Raw genomic sequence first — 20,039 nt, 5'->3', positions numbered from 1 at the left:
GGAGCAGAAACTTCCTCCTCCCCACCTTACAGAGGGGTATGGCCATCTACGCTAAAGCAAAGGTTCCTTATTACAGGAAGAACATTTACTTTGACCTTTAGGTGCGCATATATATATATATACTTTTTATTATTATTTTTTTTTTTTTTTTGAGACAGGGTCTCGCTCTGTCACCCAGGCTGGAGTGTAATAGTGCCATCTCGGCTCATTGCAGCCTCCACCTCCCAGGTTCAAGCAATCCTCCTACTTCAGCCTCCTAAGTAGCTGGGACTATAGAAGTGTGCCACCACAGCCAGCTAAATTTTTTAGTTTTGGGTATTTGTTTGGAAAGAAATGGGGTTTTGCCATGTTGCCTAGGCTGGTCTCAAACTTCTGGCCTCAAGCAATCCTCCCACCTCAGCCTCCGAAAGTGCTAGGATTACAGGCATGAGCCACTGCGCCCAGCCTTAGGTGCTTTTATATAAATCTCAAAAACAAAATTCTGAACTCAGGACCTGGCAAGCGTCTCTATGTTGTCTCCTAGGACAGGTAGTCCTGCTTCTCTACTCAGCGTTCACTATCTGGAAATGTGGGTATGTCTTCTCTACCCATTACCTCCAGGATGTGGAGTGGAAAAGGCCACTTTTCCTTTTGTTCTGCCTCCCAGACTCAACACAGGAGCCCCGGGGATTGCAGTTCCCCGCCTTCTCCAGAAGAAGGAAGCAACTGACGGGGGCTTCTGCTATTTGCTTAATTGTAACGACATCATGTTGCAAGCTGAAGCCTGATGTTTCCTTTGAAACAGGTGCTGAGGTGGTGGTATTTGTGAATTCTTTACCTTTTATTCCAAACAAGACTAAATAAATGGCAAGTACAGCTGACTTCATGGGCTTTTTAATGTCCTCCAGTTTCCACCACTGTCATGATAAGCGCAGCTGAGAACTGCAGCAGTAAATTCCAAATATGTGGTTCTAATTTGAAGCAAAAGATGCTAAATCCTCACTCATCCTGTGACATAGATTTACTGAATAAGAACAAAGGTCCAAGCTTGCAAACTTTTAATGTGATAAAGAAGCCCAAAGACAATACAGCAAAGTTAATTTCCTATGTGAAGAAACCATCGCAGTCTCTGTACAAACACAGTTTTACATGTGTAAGTCCACATTGCTGGATGAGAAGAGGGATTTTCCTCCTAGAAAAGGAGGCTGTTTTTTACCTCTTTCTCGGAAGTCCTTGGATATTCGGTATTTGCAATGTGTTTTCATTCTTCTAAGGAAGTACCAGATTGTGCAGCAGTTGAGCCTATGAATGCATGCTTGGGTTCAGTGTAAGGCAGTAAAAGAAAACAAGCCAGTAGTGAGTGCAGTGATGGGACCATATTCACCGCCCTAGGAGGAGAGACTGCTGCAAACGGCCTCACTCTTCTTCGTAGAGCCTTAGATAGCACTTGAGACTGTTTTCCCTGTTGCTAAGACTGAAAGTGGCATCGGTGGTTTTTCAGTTCAGAAGATATGACCCACTCAATAGCATGATCGCCCTTCAACTTTGGACATAGAGGAGCAGGGGAGAAAATGAAAGAAGTTTCCATATAACTCCTTTCTCCTAAGAAAAAAGAAGTACAAATGACGAATGCAGCTCCATCTGACTTTATAGTGTTTTACATTTTACAGCTTCCTTTTTTGTAAGAGCATAAATAACTCTTCCTTCGACCCCTCCAAAAAAAAAAAAAAAAAAAACCCAAATGTGTGAAAATCCCAAAAGAATGAAGCGATTTGTGGCAGCCTCTCCTCCTATGGACACAAACAGGCTTCTATCACTGCACTCACGGCTGTTTTTTTTTTACTACCCAAATGTGTGTGTGTGTGCGTGTGCGTGTGCGTGCGTGTGCGTATGTGTACATGTGCGTGCGTACGTGTGTGCGCGTGCATGTATCCGTGTGTGTGTGCGCGTGCGTGTGTCCGTGCGTGTGCGTGTGTGTGCGTGCGTGTGTGCGTGCAACATTGAGTACAGTCACTAGAGAAACAGGTAAGCCTGTTGCCCACAGAACATTGACTAAACCTTTTATTTAAAGTCCATGTAAAAAAAACACAATTGTTCCCCTCTTTTGTTTCAAAGAGAAAATAACAACTCACCTTCATGCTTTCATGAGAATTTTGTTAGTCCCCACCCTTCCGCCACACCCATCCTGAGACTACAGATTATTACTATGGAAGCATCATAAATGTTGCTATTGGAGCGAAGACATTGCACTTGACCTTAAGGTACTAAGTGTAATTACAAGCAAACGATACAACAGGTAAGAGGCCAAAGTAAGGCCAGACCGCGGGGTGAAGAGGCAGCTAAGACTTAAACCTTTCAGGTGATACCATACTGTGCCCATCACCTCCCCAATGGCACGTAGTAAATGCCTGAAGCAGCTGAAACCAGAGAATGTTCCAGCACGTGGCCCCTACCTCCCTAAGGTCAGAGGAGCCTCTCTTCAGCTCACCAGCCATGACCAGCACCGATTTCAGGGCTCTGAGTCCAAAATCATAGTGATACTGCTTGGACAGCTGCTCCCGGGCCAGCTTATACAGAACCGTCATCTTTTTCGCCAGAGTCTTTTTGATAGAAGATAATAATACAAAAAAAAAGAAAAAAGAAAATGATTCAAAAGCAATGGAGCATCATTCTACAAATGCAAGAAAACGGGGGCAGGTGTTCCAGTGCAGCTGCTCTACAAATAAGCAAATTCCATCTCTAACTTCCAGAAATACCAGGGTGGGTCCTTCATTTTTAAATATGGCAAATTGGGAACTAATTTGAAGAAACATCTGTGTTACCAAAATCTTCACTATCTTAATTTAAAGAACAGAACCATCTGTAGGAATCACACTCCAGAAATACATTGCTTCTTTATTTTGACCTAAACCTATTATTAAGGCTGTAACTGGGCCAAGCATAGTTGTTCATGCCTGTAATCCCAGCACTTTGGGACGCCAAGGTGGGTGGATCACCTGAGGTCAAGAGTTCAAGACCAGCCTAGCCAACATGGTGAAACCCTGTCTCTACTAAAAATATAAAAATTAGCCAGGCGTGGTGGCGCATGCCTATAATCCCAGCTACTTGGGAGGCTGAGGCAGGAGAATCCGCTTGAACCTGGGAGACAGAGGTTGCAGTGAGCTGAGATCACACCACTGCACTCCAACCTGGGTGACAGAGCAAGATTCCATCTCAAAAAAAAAAAAAAGGCTGTAAATGTCTTTGAGGACAAGTCAGCCACCTCATCTATGGCAAGGGTTCAAAACCCACAGGTCTCTAAGGCAAGTGTGGCAATTTTAGTCGTGAAAACTAGGAACAAGAGATCTCATCGTGCCAACTCAAAATCCTGACACGGTAATAGGCACCAAGAGCTTTCAATAAAAGACATATTGCAGAAACGCAATGTGACAACCCTCTATGTTAAAAGTATTCTCTATTTTGTAACTTTTCCAGAGCTTCTGGAAAGATCTTACGTATGTACATTTTATAGATAGCTTAAAAGAGGATAAAAGTTATCCATAAAGTTGTTTTTGAATCTACATATTCTCAAAGGCATTGTGCTGAGTGAAAGAAGCCCGTCTCAAAGGGTTCCATACTACATGTCTCCAGGTAGAGAACATTCTCAAAGTGACAAAATTACACTGACTGAAGAATAGATCAGGGGTTGCAGGAGTTAGGGTTGAGGGGAGAATGTGTCTAGTAAGCAGTAACATGAGGCTGGGTGCAGTGGCACAACCTGTAGTCCCAGCTACTCGGGAGGCTGAGGTGGGAGGATTACTGGAGCCCAGAAGTTCGAGACCAGCCTGGGCTGTAGAGACCCTGTCTCTACAAAAAATAAGCAAGATTAGCCAGGTGTGATGGCATCTGCCTGTGGTCCCAAATACTCAGGAGGCTGAGGCAGGAAGATCACTTGAGCCCAGGAGTTTGAGGCTGCAGTGAGCTGTGATCCCACCACTGCACTCCAGCCTGGGTGACAGAGTAAGACCCTGTCTCTCTTCTTTGTGGTCGTGGTGATGGAATAGTTCTGTATCCTGATGTGGTGACGGCCACTCCCATCCACATGTGATAAAACGTCATAGAACTAACTACACGCACACGCCATAGAGAGAATGTGAAACCTGGTGAAATCCACACAACGTCTACACCTGAGTTAATGGCACTTGTGCCAACACCAACTCCCTGGTTTGGGCAATGGACTGTGGCTATGTGAGATGTTCTCATGGGGAAGGGGCACCTGGAAAGTCCGTGCTACTATTGTTGCAACCTCTTGTGCATCTTACATTATTCCAAAATTAAAAGTTATAATTTAAAAAGAGGTGGGGGAGGAAGAAGAGAGACACAGCAGAAAAAAAAAACAAAAATCAAAGAGCCACACGGAGCTGACACATCCTAGGTCCCCAGTCTGGAAGAGCCACATGGAGCTGACACATCCTAGGTCCCCAGTCTGGAAGAGCCACATGGAGCTAACACATCCTAGGTCCCCAGTCTGGAAGACCCACATGGAACTAACACATCCTAGGTCCCGTCTGGAAGAGCCACACGGAGCTAACACATCCTAGGTCCCATCTGGAAGAGCCACATGGAGCTGACACATCCTAGGTCCCGTCTGGAAGAGCCACACGGAGCTAACGCGTCCTAGGTCCCCAGTCTGGAAGCAGACCCGGGTGAAGTCTGCACTGCACGACCTGGCGCTGCCAAGGCCCCCCACCTTGGCCTCCAGGAAGCCCTCAGAGAAGAGCATGATCTCACAGATCTGCTGCAGGTCGGGCACGATCACGACCACAGGCCTGAACAGCGCCTTCACCGACTCGGGCAGCTCCGTGCGGCCTGCGTAGCCGGGGTTCATGGTGATGAAGATGCCCATGCGGGAGTCCAGGGAAATCTCCTGCCCTTCAAACTGGAGGGCAAGAAGGAAGAAAGAAAGAAGCAGTTAGGTGGCCCGGCCGGCCAGCCCCTTGGAAAGGGGGCCTGCGGCGAGCTGCGTGGCGATTCATTTTCATGGTATGAGGCTGACAACACCACTTGTCTCTTTTTCCCTCCCCGGTGTTCAATGCAGGGCCCCCCTCGCTGAAGGCCTTGGGGAGGGCAGGTCTCAGTGGAACCCCAAACTCAGACCTGAACCCAGGGCACTACCTTGGAGAAGGGGCCCAGGTTGGCGAAGCACAGAGTCTGGGGCTGATACAAGAAGCTGTGTGACCCTCAGCAGGTCACTTAACCTCTCTGAGTCTCAGTTTATTTTTCTGCACAACAGAAATGCAACCCACCTCGTGGCACGGCTGTGGCGATGAAAGGAGACAGCCCAGGTTGGGAGCGCCCAGCCCACCACCTCACACAGCGCCGGCTTCCATTCCTCTCACCTGGCTTTGCACCTTCTGCGGGTGCCTGGACTTCATGCAGTCACTCCTGCCTAAAGAATCCCACCTCAAACCCCTCAAGAAACCAGTCTTCATTCCTCTGGTTGCCCCAGGTACCAACAAACCACGGAAATCCCTATATTCTTAGCCTTTTTAGCTGAAGGTTGAGTCCGGTCGTCTCTCGGTGAAGTTTTCTATTTTATTTTTTTTGATTGTCCACCAGCCAGGCAGAGGACAGAAAATTTTTGTTGTTAGGAGGCACAGTCTGCATCACCAACGAGAGGGCAGCCCGGAAGACAGCCAGCCTCCCCCAAAACAAGGCCACTGCCTTGACTCATAGGTCGGCCCTGAGACCATCCCTAGCCTCAGTATCCCACAAGAGGCCCAGATGGCCCAGATGGCCCAGGGGGAAGAGCAGATAGCTGCTGCCTCCTGGCTCTGAGAAACACAGCTTCTGGAAATCTATATACATTGCAGGTTAATTCCCTCTCTCGGGAGCAGTCAGCTCAGCCCCAAAAATCCCTCAAAAGAACTCATCAAAGGGAAATCTATCCAGACCCTTTACTGGAATCCTGAAAATATTGAACAGTCTCCAGCTGACACAATCTCTTAACAGTGAGCCCTGCCAAGATCTGAGGAGGACGCATGTGAGATGACAGGGCCACCAGCTCAAGCTGAATTTTCATCCTGGAATGGGGCTCTAAAGGATGTATAGGAGTTTTCCAGTGAAGGGAAGAAGGGACAATTCCACTCAGATGGGGACACATGTGGTGTCACAAGGCATGGTATGACTGTGGAGCAAGTGGCTTAGTGACAAGTGTGCAGGGCATGGAGGGGGGAGGACAGAGGCAGAAGGACAGCAAGGGACCCAGAAGACCCCGGTGTAGGGAAATGGCCCACCCACGCTGGTCCTGTGTTTTCAGAGAATCCCCTTCTGGGCCACCTAGATTACATAATAAGATCATGTTTCTCCAAATTTGGATCCAGCTTAATCTGGTGTAATTTAATGCAGACTTCTCAAACTCAAGTCTGCAAACATATTCTTTGGCAGAGAGAAATTGGTGAATTCTCAACAATTGTTTTAAAATTCTGCCTTCTCACTTTGATAACCTTGCAAATCCTGCTTGTTATGATGCCGTAACTTCACAAGGTATGAAGGCAAAATTTCTTGTTCACTGTGATAATGATTGCAAGGAACATTCGCTTTCTAAGTCAGGTTTTCTCAAACTTGGGAAGTCGCCAAGAATATTGTTTCCTTTCTAGGGGACCCTGCACATCACTTATTTGAGAACTCTGCCCCACGCCCATTCATAACTATTGGTTCTGTGTCTGGAGTCAGTGTGAAGTCCTTGGACTATTACAAACCTTATCATCAATGATGATAATTTTGGAAACCCAATCATCTCAATTGGAAAAACCAACAGATCTTCTACAGGAAGCCTGGTCTGGAGTGTCAACGGCCCAGAAACTGACGCTACAGAGGAAGCTTACCATACTTGGCAAACTTCCATCCTAGGGACATGGTCCCGGGGGCTTCATGTGTCTCACCTGGAACGTGGTTAACTGATGGATCAGAGCATTTCGGATCGTCTGGATCTGGGAGGAGATCACGGAGAGCACAGAAGCATCGATTCGATTAAACTCATCAAAGCAGCCCCAAGCCCCGCACTGTGCCAGGCCAGAGAAAATCTTCCCCACGGCCTAGGAAGAAAGACATGTCAGGACAAGGGCAATTTTCATCTTTAAAACTGCAAGCAACACATTTATGGATATATTTTCTAAATTAAAGCAAACAATGAGATCACTGATTGGCAGAGAAGCAGGTGACCAGCCACTTGACTAGTGGATTTTTCTGGCAGGACTTCCAAGGCCCCTCATGGGCTGGCTCCTACTTGGGATTTTACAAATCCAGATTTTTGTGTAAAACTCCATTTCTCTTCTCTTCTCTTGAAATGTGGGAAAATCTAGCAATGCTGGGTCCACTTTCCCAAATGGTGATTATGAACCAAAGCTGGACGGGCACCCTCTTTAGATGGACTTTTGCTCTCCAGTTAGCCACAGATCCCACCACTCTCTTGTCTGCTGGCCGCTTTACTCACGTACATTATCAACCTGACCCTACTAGGGTAGTGAATCCGGGACTCTTGCTCTACATCCTGCTAACAAAGCAGGGTCTTTAAGCAGACACACTTAGGTTCTGGGGCTGTGGTGGTGGAAGGTTTTCTACTAGCTTCTTCCACTGTCGCCATGTCAAAGACTAGGAGGTGAAATGCCATGTCCTGCTTTAAGCTCTCTGCCTAATGAGCCAGTACCAAAGGTGACAGCCAGGCCTTACCCTGTAATCCATGCCTTCGCCACAGTTGGTGACAACACAGAGCAAGCCCAAGGCTTTCGCCAGGTCCTTGGTGGTCTCGGTTTTGCCGGTTCCTGCTGGGCCGGCGGGGGCCCCACCTAGATACATGGACAGCGCCTGTTATAAGCCAAATGCAAAACATATGTTTTCTGGTGCACAGAAGGAAGTGGGTGTCATTTCCAAATTCATCACTGTGACTATAGGTGCAGAATAGAGAAAGAATGTGGTGTTTGCTTTCATGTGTCAACTTGACTGGGCCACAGGATGCCCAGGTAGCTGGCTAAACATTATTTCTGGGAGTGTCCATGAGTGTGTTTCAGGAAGAGATTAGCATTTGAGAAAAGCAGATGACCCTCCCCAAAGTGGGTGGGCCTCATCTAATCCATTAAAGACTGAACAGAACAGAAGGATGGAGGGAGGTTACATTGGTGCTGCCTGATCATCTAATCCATTGAAGACTGAACAGAACAGAAGGATGGAGGGAGGTTACACTGGTGCTGCCTGACTGACTGAGCCAGGGCACTGGGCTTCTACCCTTGGCACTTCGGGTTCTCAGGCCCTCAGACCCAGACACGAGTCTACACTATTGGCTCTCTCACTGTCAGAACTTCAAATGCTACTGGCCTTCCTGGTCCTCCAGCTTGCAGATGGCAGATTGTGAGAGTAATCAGACCCTATCATCACATGAGTCAATACCTCATAATAAATCTCCTCCTAAATATCCAGATAGATAGATAGATAGATAGATAGATAGATAGATAGATAGATAAAATAGATGATCGAGATGATAAATAGACAGGATGGATGGATGGATAGATAGATAGATAGATAGATAGATAGATAGATAGATAGATAGATAATAGGATGGATGGATGGATAGATACATGGATGGATGGATGGATGGATGGATGGATGGATGGATGGATGGATGGATATGTAGATGGATGGATGCACGGATGGATGGATAAGATAGATAGATTAGATAGATAGATAGATACACAGACAGACAGACAGCCATCCAGCTAGCTAGCTATGTCCTATTGGTTCTATTTCTCTGTGGAACCCTAACCAATACAGATAAGATGACACTCTTTTTCTCAAAAACAAAGGACTTTATCACTCACAGCACAGGAGGCAGCAGGGGCTTCCTGTTCTCACTCATTCCCTTTATCCTTGTCCCCCCAAATCCCATGGTGTGATGTGGAGACGGGCCCAGGTGCATGCCACATCCACAGTGGGTATGAGTCACAGCTGAGAAACTGTGAGCCTAAGAGACCACCAATGTAGCCAGGTGCAGCAGTGAATGCTATAGTCCTAGCTACTCAGGAGGCCAAGGTGGGAGGATCACTTGAGGCCAGGAGTTCAAGGCAAGCCTGGGCAACATATCAAGACCTCATCTCTAATTTAAAAAAAGAAAACTAGCAAGCATCTGACAAACAGTCTTGGGGGTTGCTTGCAAACCTTCCCAAGCTCTGCCTGGATGGAAGTGTTATCTTCATTTCCTGTACAACAAACAAGTTTACCCTCTGTCCTGGAGGGAGACACTATCTCTATCATCCAAGGCCGTTCACTTGAACGGATATATTCTGGAATAAAAGCTGTCACAAGACGTGCAAAACCACATCACACTTGCCCTAACAGTCACCACCTTTGACATTCCTGCATTTTCGCATTGGCCTCTACCAATACCCCTGACACACCATTACCTAGGGACCAGTGTACCAGTGGCTAAGCACGGCCACACTTACATGCCAATCCCAAATGGTGACAATCTGGTCACATCCCAAATGGAAAAGCTTTTCGAGATTTCAAAGCAATGATCTCCCCTGCTATTTCAATCACTGCAGTCATCACACCTCAAGCTTAGAGAAAATGCCCCGCCCCAAGGTAAGTGGTAACCACAAGTGCCAGGCTGGCAGTCACCTGGGTGAGCGTCAGGTAAATCCGATCGGTGAGGGGCGTGATGACCAGCCTGCCGTTCAGGCCCATGTACTCGTAGCCGTAGCCAAAGGTTCCCGTGCACTGGCGGATGTTCAGCTCATCCGGCTCCCGGTCCCAATAAAACCGCAACTGACTTTCCCAGTCAAACTCTCGGGCCTCCAGGATACTGGACGGCAAGAAAGGTGGAGGAAGTGGAAACCGTTGAGACAGATCAGCGGACCACAAAGGGTCCCTTTTGAAATGCCAGTGACCCCGGAAAATGCTCACCTGCCTCTTATGAAAGAATCAACTATGTCTCTGGCATGCACATCAATGATGAGAACAGTGTTGTATTTTTTCCTGTCGTTTTTGCTTAGCGGCATGGTGATGCGCGTTACCAACTCATCGATCTGCCGGTGCATTTTCCTGCCATAGTTCTTCATGGCCTGCTTCTCCCCTTTTTGCGCTTTGTGGAAGACGTCTTCCACCTCCCAGGTCCACCACACCTGGCTAGCGGCCAGCACCACCATGCCCTGGTACAGGAGCATCCAGTCGACTCTGCAGAAAACGCACACCTGTAAGAGGCTCTGATCAATCCGGGGACTGGTACCCAAAACAGTCCCTTCAGGAATTTATTTCTTTGATCTGGAATAGGGAGGGCAAAGTAAAGGTTTTAGGTAAGCAAGTGCCTGTATTTGTTTACCTAAGTAAGTCAGAGGAGTAAGACTTAGGTGAGAGTAAGATGTTACCTATCTCCGACTAGGTAGTAAAATTCCAGGCCGAGGGTGCCTCTCTCCACAAAAAATGTTGCAGGTACCTGACTGCACAGAAAGATGCCAGATCACTTTTTAAATGTTTGGGGCCAGTCGTGGTAGCTCACGCCTGTAAACCCAACACTTTGGGAGGCCAAGGAAGAGGATCACTTGAAGCCAGGAGTTCAAGACTAGCCTGGGCAACATAGCAAAACCCTATCTCTACAAAAAATAAATTAAAAACTAGCCAGGCATAATGACGCATGCCTGTAGTCCCAGCTACTCCAGGGGCGCTGGAGCCCAGGAGTTGGAGGCCGCAGCCAACTACAATTGTGCACTGTACTCCAACCTGAGTGACAGAGCAAGGCCCTGTCTCTAAAAAATAAAATAAAATAAAATATTTGATTATAGGTTTTCAAACTTACTTAGTATTTGAGGTTTATGTAAGAAGTAAAACAATATTCCAGGCTGGGCACGGTGGCTCACACCTGTAATCCCAGCATTATGGGAGGCCAAGCTGGGGCAGATTGCTTGAGCTCAGGAGTTTGAGACCAGCCTGGGCAACACAGCGAAACCTTGTCTCTACCAAAAATACAAAAATTAGCCAGATGTGGTGGTACATGCCTGTGGTCCCAGCTATTCAGGAGGCTGAGGTGGGAGGATTGCTTGAACCTAGGAACTCAAGGCTTCAGTGAGCCGAGCTCGCATCACTGTACTCCGGCCAGGGCAACAGAGCAAGACCCTGTCTCAAGAAAGAAAATTAAAATTCCAACAAAGAATTTCATAATCTCTGACCACACTGCCCAGGTTTGCAGGCCAGGTTGTAACACGCTTTTGAATTTTTGCCAGTCTGAAAAGTGAAACAAAACATCTCATCCTCCCTTAATGTACAGATCCTGCTGAGTCGTGGGGTTTCTCCTCTTTTCATGTTTATTGGCCACTTGGATGTCCTCTCCAGAGGCACTAACTTACAAAGCTTGTGATTGCCTTGAGACACATTTAGACAAAGCTTTTTTTCTAAACTGCACTTAAAAAATAATGGACTCAGAGCTGTAAATGCCTGATATGGTTTGGCTCTGTGTCCCCACCCACGTCTCGTCTCAAATTGTAATCCCCATAATCCCCAGGTGTTGAGGGAAGGACCTGGTGGGAGGTGACTGGATCATGGGGGCGGTTTCCCCATGCTGTTCTCGTGATACTGAGTGAGTTCTCATGAGATCTGACGGTTTTATAAGTGGTTGTTAGTTCCTCCTTCTCTCTCTCTCTTTCCCGCCACCTTGTGAAAAAGGTACTTGCTTTTCCTTTGTCTTCCGCCATGACTGTAAGTTTCCTGAGGCCTCCCCAGCCATGCGTGACTGTGAGTCAATTAAACCTTTTTCTTTATAAATTACCCAGTCTTGAGTATTTCTGTATAGCAGTGTGAAAACACAGTAATACAATGCCAATACTGGAAAAGTGACTGCGGATTACTATAGTCATTATCTTGATGACCTACAGTTAATGGCAAAATAAATTTAAAAGAGTAGGAGGCCGAATGCTTTGGCTCACGCCTGTAATCCCAGCGCTTTGGGAGGCCGAGGCCGGCAGATCACCTGAGGTCGGGAGTTCGAGACCAGCCTGGCCAACATGGCGAAACCCTGTCTCTACTAAAAATACAAAAGTTAGCCGGGTGTGGTGATGTGCACCTGTAATCCCAACTACTCAGAAGTCTAAGGCAGGAGAATCGCTTGAACCTGGAAGGCGGAGGTTGTAGTAAGCCGAGATAGCGCCATTGCACTCCAGCCTGGGTGACAGAGCGAGACTCTGTCTCAATAAATAAATAAATAAATAAATAAGTAGGAAAAGCAATAAAAATAACATTGACCTTTGTTGTTTTATTTTAAAATTGTGTGGTGCAGCGAAAACCTAAAGATCACTTATATCCATGATTCCTACACATCAGGAGAGAGACAACAAAGATTACGAAGGCCCAGAGGACGACACCGAAATGATGAACAAAGACGGGCCTTGTAAAGGACGCGACAAACCTAGAATCAGAAACGGAGAGGTGGCAGCTGAGGCCATAGGATCAGAGAAGATTAAATGACCAGGGCAAAGGTGCTTCCTGGGACTAGATACAGCTGGCCCTAACTTCTCAGTGATGCCACACCTATCAGCTCAAATAAAACCACATGCTCATGTCAACTATTCTCCCTGTTGGAAGCAACAAGTTCACGTGCTCAAAGGAGCATCTGGATGAGAAAAAGATCTTTTTCAGTCCATCAGGCTGCATTCCCTTACTCTCTTCCACCAACTCAGCACTACCAAACATAGCAATGCCCTAGCAAAGTGGTAGCTATCGTGAAAATAAAATCAACTGATGCTGGTGTAAACTTCACAGTATTTTGGAGCAGAAAAGATAATTTAAAACATTCAGTGATTAATACATACAGAAGGCAGAGATTTCTGTCTAGTTCAGTTTTGAAATAGCATCTAGCATAATAAATCGCCCAGAGCAGGGGTTGAAGAAATATTAGTTAAATGAATGCTAGGGCCACCTCCTGTCACAAGACTAACTGTCGAATATTCTGGAATTTTGCAAGCTGGTTGTTAAACCACTTATTTCATTTAGCTTTGAAATCAGCCATGGCAGGAATATTTGCACCATGGAAATTGGCAACTGCTTTAAATCAAAGCTTTAAAAAAATTTTTTCCAGACATCCAGTTTTACCAGTTTATCCACTGAACATATCCACATAAAGATGCAAACAAATTTTTGATATGCCTCAGTACCTCGGAAACAGCAGGATCATAATCAAATAAATATTATGCTATTCGCTAATAATTTTTAAGTAGATGTTTTCACTTTGTAAAATCAAAAAGGCAGTGTACAAAATCAAGAGAATGGTGTTCTCATAATAACAAGAAAGATTCTATGTCTGCACGAAGGCCCTGCCAAATATTCTCCAACTTTACGGGGGATCCTGTCTAATCTAATAGAATAAGTTAGCCAAAGAGGCTTTCTGTATTTCTAGTTGGACTGCACTCAGCTGCTAGGAGCAGGCAGGGCTCAGCATGATATCCTGAAGCCTCTCTAGCCACAAAAATCAAAGAATGTTGGAAATTCAGTAAATATTTTAGAAACAACGTTACATACACATAATCCCACTAAACGCCTAGTTTCTGGTGGTTCACTAAGTCAGGGGTTCACACGCTAAGGGTGCTGGGAATCCCCTGAGAGCTTGCAAAAACACAAATCCTCAGGCCCCACCCCCAGAGTTCTGATGGGCAGGTGCAGGGTAAGACCCAAGAATCAGCATTTCTAACAATCCCAGGGGCCCTGTGCTGCCACCAGGGGGCACACTTTGAGAGTACTGCATCGGGTGATCATTGAAAGACTGCTATCTTGTGCTCGCTTTGGCAGCACATATGCTAAAGACTGCCCGGGCTCAGTGGCTCACACCTGTAATCCCAGCACTTTGGGAGGCCAAGGTGGGAGGATCACTTGAGCCCAGGAGTTTGAGACCAACCTGGGCAACACAGTGAGACTCCCTCTCTACAAAAAAGTACAAAATTAGCCAGGCATGGTAGTGCACAACTGTAGTCCCAGCTACACTGAAGACTGAGGTGGGAGAATCTCTTGAACCAGGGAGGTCAAGGCTGCAGTGAGCCATTGTACCACTGTATTCCAGCCTGGGTGACAGAGCAAGATCCTGTCTCAAAAAAATAAAAATAAAGACATCTATCTGTCCACTAATGACCTATTGCAAAAAAACAAAACCTCATTTGGAATGTCAGCCAATCTACTCCAAGCCTTTAAAATTAATCCATTATGACTATGAATTGGATAGAGCAATGCATGTCCACATTCGCAGCCTTACCTGCTTCTGTCTTCACAGTATCTAAAAATAGCCTCTTTGGTAATTAGTCTATTAGTTCTTCTCATCTCATTCAAAACTGCCGTCATCCAGTCCTCCACGCGCCCTTCAGCCCGCAAGATCTTCCGAAACTCCATGACTTCTCCTTCTGCTGAAATCATCGCGGACACCAGTTTTTCTCCACTATCGCCGTCATTAAACCTCAGTGATGCTATGTTGTCGTACATCTGCAAACAGGGAGAGGCAGCCCTGTAAGACCTGCACGGAGTTCTGGAATCAAAGACCAGCCAGCGGTGCTCCATCCAGCAGAGCTGCCACGATGCAAGCAATGGCAACCGGTGAGCCGAGATCGCAGGCAAGATGGATGTCGTTCACCCACCTGTGTGGTCATCCCAAAGACACTTATTGGGGATTTTCATTTACTCTGTACTGTGCAAAGATCTGTGGAGGATTGAAAAGAGAAAGAAAAAGCAGACTCTGTCCCTAACCCTGCTGGAGTGGGGAGGTATCTGGACATAGGAGCCAGTGGAACGTGGAGGAGGCGGAAGGGTGATTAACACCCCAGGCTGGGGAACAGAGACCTGTGATGGAATCCCAGATTCCCCACTATCCAATTGCGCAACTATGGGTGAGTTGCTCCTCCTCTCTCTGCCTGGAATAAACACAATCATGGCACTTAACAAGGTGGGCTTGGGAGAATCAAATGAAACAATCTGAGTCAAATGCTGGCATGTTGTTAAACACTTGGCATTTGTTGACTATTATCATTGTTATTAATCAGAATAACATTTAGGACAATGAGTCCTTTAGGGCCCACCATATACAAGGCACTCACAAATCAGAGAGGAGAGGAAGGCAACAAACAGGCTTTAAAGAATAAAAACAGAGGTTTGCAAAAGAGGCGAACAGTAAATGAAGTATTCCTAACACTGTATTTTTCTACAACAGTAAAATATGTGTTTACAAAGTGGAAGCAGAAGGCCAGGCACAATAGCTCATGCCTGTAATCCCACCACTTTGGGAGGCTGAGGCGGGTGGATTGCTTGAGCCCAGGAGGTAGAGGCTGCAATGAGCTGTGATCACACCACTGCACTCCAACCTGGGCAACAAAGCAACGCCCTGTCTGAAAAAAAAAAAAAAAAAAAAAAAAAAAACTGGAAACAGAATACTGAAGAAGCCTCCCCTTTGAGAAAGGAAAAATATGCAGTCGAAAATATGAATCTTACTTTAAGAAGGAAGTTAGCATTGATTAAAGGGAAAGTAATAGGAGAAAGCACTCGTTCCTAAGTGCTCTGTTAATTTGGAATGGAGGAATTACCGTGCAACACTCATTCTCAGCCGGGGATGATTTTGCCACCAGGGGACATTGGCAATGTCTGGAGATGTTTCTGGTTGTCATAACTAGGGAGGGGGTGCTACTGGCATCTAGTAGGTTGTGGTCAGGGATGCTACGTAATGTCCTGTAATGCACAGGACAGCAGCCACAGCAAAGAGTCATCCAGCCCCAAATGCCAGCAGCGCCGAGGCTCAGAGCCCCTGCCCAGGCTGACGCTAGATAAAGAGCTTTGATTAGCAGGCCAAAGATCATGTCTGGCCAGCCTCTGTTCTCTATCACAAGGGACAGTGTTCTCTGTTGTTTCCCGCCATTCAGGAAATGGTTCATGGATACATATACATTTATTTAAAAAGTGTGAAATTGTGGTCTGGAAGGAATCATAACAAATTCATGACAGTGGCTGGCGCCTGTAGTCCCAGCTACTCGGGAGGCTGAGGCAGGAGAATGGCGTGAACCTGGGAGGTGGAGCTTGCAGTGAGTGGAGATCGCGCCACTGCACTCCGGCCTGGGCGACAGAGTGAGACTCTGTCTCAAAAAAAAAAAAAAAAAATAGAAAAGAAAATAGAGGAAGTATGAATGGGGATGGGGACAAAAAGTATTGCAAATTTGTACAACTTTACAAAAAAAAGAGACAAACCAAATATGACTAAATGGTAACAAGTGCCAATTCTGGGTAGTGGAGAGGGTTATTTAGCCAACATTGAAAGGTAGGCACTGTTCAAAGTACTTTATAAATAGTAACTCATTTCATTTTTACAACAGCTCCACTGAAACAGGTAACCATTGGGGTTATGTCCATTCACAGATGAGGAAACTGATGTCCAGAGAGATCAAGGAACTTGCCGAAGATCACACAGAAACTCAGAATAGAGCAAAGATTTGAACCCCAGCAATCTGGTTCTAGAGTCCATGTGCTAAACCACTATCCTCTAATGCCTCCCTATTTAATATATTAGTCTTCATATATTTCTGGTTTTTTTGTTTTTTTTTTTTTTTTAGTTTATAAAAAGAAAGGTTTTGGACTGTGGAAAAATAGCTGAATCTGGTGTGATTTCAGACTCAGTGAATATCATCAGGCTTACACTTCAAATTAAAACTCGAGGGCTGAGTGTGGTGGCTCACACCTGTAATCCCACTTTGGGAGGCCGAGGTGGGAGCATTGCTTGAGCTCAGGAGTTAGAGACCAGCCCAGGTAACACAGTGAGACCTCATCTCTCCAAAAAATATATAAAAATTAGCCAGGCATGGTGGTGTGCACCTGTGGTCCCAGCCACTCAGGCAGCTGAGGTGGCAGATCACTTGAGTCGGGGAGGTGGAGGCTGCAATGAGCCATGATTGTACCACTGCGCTCCAGCCTGGGCAACAGAGCCAGACCCTGTCTCAAAAAACAAACCAAAAAACCAACTCCAGCAGCATTTCAGTCTTAACCCTCTGGGTTGAACCTCATGGCAAAGGGAACCAGGGAGGACCGAAGGCGGTTCTAAGGCTTACACGGGGAGCCCCTGCACACCCAGAGGGCTGACCTTGATCATGTGCTCCTGGACGCAGAGTGGGTCGCTGCTCCCCAGAATGCTAAGCAACTCATCGTCAGAAATGAAGAAGAACCTTGGGAAAGCATTTCTCTTCGAATCTAAGTAGTCGTTGAGGCTTTTCTGGCATTTCTCCAGGCCCTCGCTGACGTTCTGTAGGTCACTGAGGCGGTTTGGGGCTTCACAGCACCTCTTGATCACGGGGTCTTTTAAGGTCTCACCCATGATCTGGACCAGAACAGAGGACAGCCGTCAAGCAGGGTGAGCAGGGAGAGCGGAGACACTGTTCTTGAGCCCAGAACAGGCACTCACCAGAGCCCAGGCACGGCCGAGACAAAACTGACAAGCTGCCCAGTGCCATTGGCTTTCAGGGGATCCATTTATCATTTTTAAACATGCATATCCTTAGCACCTTCTAATGTACTACATGTAACTAACTGGTTTCTGGTTTTTCTTTTCGTTATCCCGTAAGAAGGCCAGCTGCGCAGGGAAAGGATTTTTTTGTTTTGTTCACTGATGAGCCCCACCCCACCCTACAGAAGTGCTTACACACAGTAGGCGCCCATTCAACACTTGCTGAGTAAAGGAAGCTGGCAATTCCACTGTGAGCAATTTGTATATACAGAATATTCACTGCAGCATTCTTCATCATAGCAGAAAAAGAAAGAAATAGCCTCAATGTCCAGCAACAGGTCAATCATCTGCTGTGAGTGATAATTTCAATGTTTATTTATTGAAATAGGTCAAACTGTTCAATAAAAATAGCCAGTGACATTGGTAAGAATGATTCTATTTTCAAGCCTGTAATCCCAGTGCTTTGGGAGACTAAGACAGGAGGATTAGGAGGATTGTTTGAGACCAGGAGTTTGAGACCAGACTGGGCAACAGAACAAGACTCCATCTCTACTAAAAAAAAAAAAAAAAAATTTTTTTTTTTTTAAGTTAGCCGGGTGTGGTGGTGCATACCTGCAGTCCCAGCTACCTGGGAGGCCAAGGCGAGGATCATATGAGCCCAGGAGTTGGAGGCTGCAGTGAGCTATGATCACACCACTGCACTCCAGCTTGGGCAACAAGGCAAGACCTCGTCTCTAAAAAAAAAAAAGAACAATCATATTTTGTAGAATGTTATTTATTTATTTATATCTATTTGTATGTTTATGCAGGAATAAATGTTCTGGAAAGATATATGCTCAACTATTAAAATGGTTACCCTGGGCAAGGGGATTATAGGTATTTTTTTCTTCCTTTCTTTTTTTTCTTGGCTTTTTGTAATTTCTAAAGTATTCTGTAATGAATTGATATTTGTTGTATAATTCTTCTTTTTCTTTTTTCTTTTTTTTTTGAGACAGAGTCTCACTCTGTCACCCAGGCTAGAGTGGTGTCACGATCTCAGTTCACTGCAACCTTCACCTCCTGGGTTCAAGCGATCCTCCCACCTCAGCCTCCCGAGTAGCTGGGATTACAGGCATGCACCACCATGCCTGGCTAATTTTTTTTTTTTTTTTGTATTTTTAGTAGAGACGGAGTTTCACCGGCTGGGCACAGTGGCTCACATCTGTAATCCCAGCACTTTTGGAGGCCAAGGTGGGCAGATCATGAGGTCAGGAGATTGAGACCATCCTGGCTAACACGGTGAAACCCCGTCTCTACTAAAAATACAAAAAATTAGCCGGGCGTGGTGTTGGGCACCTGTAGTCCCAGCTACTCGGAGGCTGAGGCAGGAGAACAGCCGGAACCCAGGATGTGGAGCTTACAGAGAGTCAAGATTGTGCCACTGCACTCCAGCCTGGGCGACAGAGCGAGACTCTGTCTCAAAAAAAAAAAAGAGAGAGAGACAGAGTTTCATCATATTGGCCAGGCTGGTCTCGAAATCCTGACTTCAAGTGATCGCCCACCTCGGCCTCCCAAAGTCCTGGGATTACAGGCGTGAGTCACCGTCCAGCCTGATATGTGTTGTACAATTCTTTTAAGTTTAAAAAAAGAGCTTATGCAACAATTATATGAAACAGTTATAAACTCTAGTGGATAAAAGAGATCAAAACATGAACTGGCCACCTATAATTAAAGAACACAGCAGCAAAGCTAAGTAGCAAAATACCCGGGCTTTGAGAGCAGGAGAGCTGGGTTAAAATCCCAGCCACACTAACTACAGTCACTGTGATGACCAGTCCAACCCTTTTTGGAAATGACTTTAAAATACACACACCCTTTCACGGGCAATTTGCTTTCTAACAATCTATCTTAAGACATTCACTCTAACTATGGAAAAAGCATTAGGCAAGAACCTGTACATTATTTATGAAAGCAAAGAACTCTGTTCAAACAAAATGTCAAATTACTGGAGAGTAATCAACTAAACTAATGTCAGCCCACTCCCTGGAATATAGAGAGCCATGAAATTATTTTCTCAGATGACTTCCTAATATGAACTGTTTCTCATAATATTAAGAGAAAATTATGATATAAAGTTGTACACAATATGATTACAATTATGCTTTTTAAACTTATACACATAGGAAAAAGATAAAAGGAATATATTGACATGTTAAAGTGGTCCCATTAAAGTGACAGAACCATGAGAGATACATTTTTCCACTGTTCTACACTTTCAAAATATTTTAAACAAGCAAATATTGCTTTTATAATAAATGTAAAAAAGATTCAGTGTCATATGCCAGCAGCTAAAAATCAAATGGGAATTTTTACTAGACAGATTAGGGTCATAAATAATGACACGAAAAATTCAGAAGCTACTAGTGGGCCAGGCAAGGTGACCCACTCCTGTAATCCCAGTGCTTTGGGAGGCCAATGTGGGAGAGTCAGTTGAGGCTAGGAGTTTGAGACCAGCCTGGACAACATAGCAAGATCCTATCCCTATAAAAAATGTTTTAATTAGCTGAGCATGGCAGCACATGCCTGTAGTCCCAGCTGCTTGGGA

General features: G+C 45.6%; 1 protein-coding gene across 12 annotated transcripts in view; it reads right to left on the bottom strand.

The window, feature by feature from the left end:
- The window catches only part of DNAH10 (dynein axonemal heavy chain 10), a 173,420-nt gene that overhangs the window by 79,936 nt on the left and 73,445 nt on the right, over positions 1-20,039 (bottom strand). For 9 of the 12 annotated variants that reach the window (NM_001372106.1, XM_017018960.2, XM_011538016.3 and 6 more), the window contains 8 exons: positions 17,096-17,329; positions 14,240-14,463; positions 9,916-10,185; positions 9,631-9,814; positions 7,690-7,824; positions 6,903-7,055; positions 4,709-4,897; positions 2,433-2,579 (listed from right to left, as the gene is read on the bottom strand). In NM_001372106.1, coding sequence (NP_001359035.1) covers positions 2,433-2,579; positions 4,709-4,897; positions 6,903-7,055; positions 7,690-7,824; positions 9,631-9,814; positions 9,916-10,185; positions 14,240-14,463; positions 17,096-17,329 — 1,536 coding nt within the window. Of the gene's footprint in view, positions 1-1,195; positions 1,824-2,432; positions 2,580-4,708; positions 4,898-6,902; positions 7,056-7,689; positions 7,825-9,630; positions 9,815-9,915; positions 10,186-14,239; positions 14,464-17,095; positions 17,330-20,039 lie in introns of those variants that run through there. The other 3 variants (XM_011538015.4, XM_011538017.4, XM_047428478.1) reach the window with 3 other exon arrangements.

The sequence above is a fragment of the Homo sapiens genome, chromosome 12, assembly GCF_000001405.40.
Source record: "Homo sapiens chromosome 12, GRCh38.p14 Primary Assembly".
Classification (NCBI taxonomy): Eukaryota; Metazoa; Chordata; class Mammalia; order Primates; family Hominidae; genus Homo; species Homo sapiens.
Note: the sequence above shows the minus strand (reverse complement) of the source record. Positions and strands in the feature narration are given on the sequence as shown.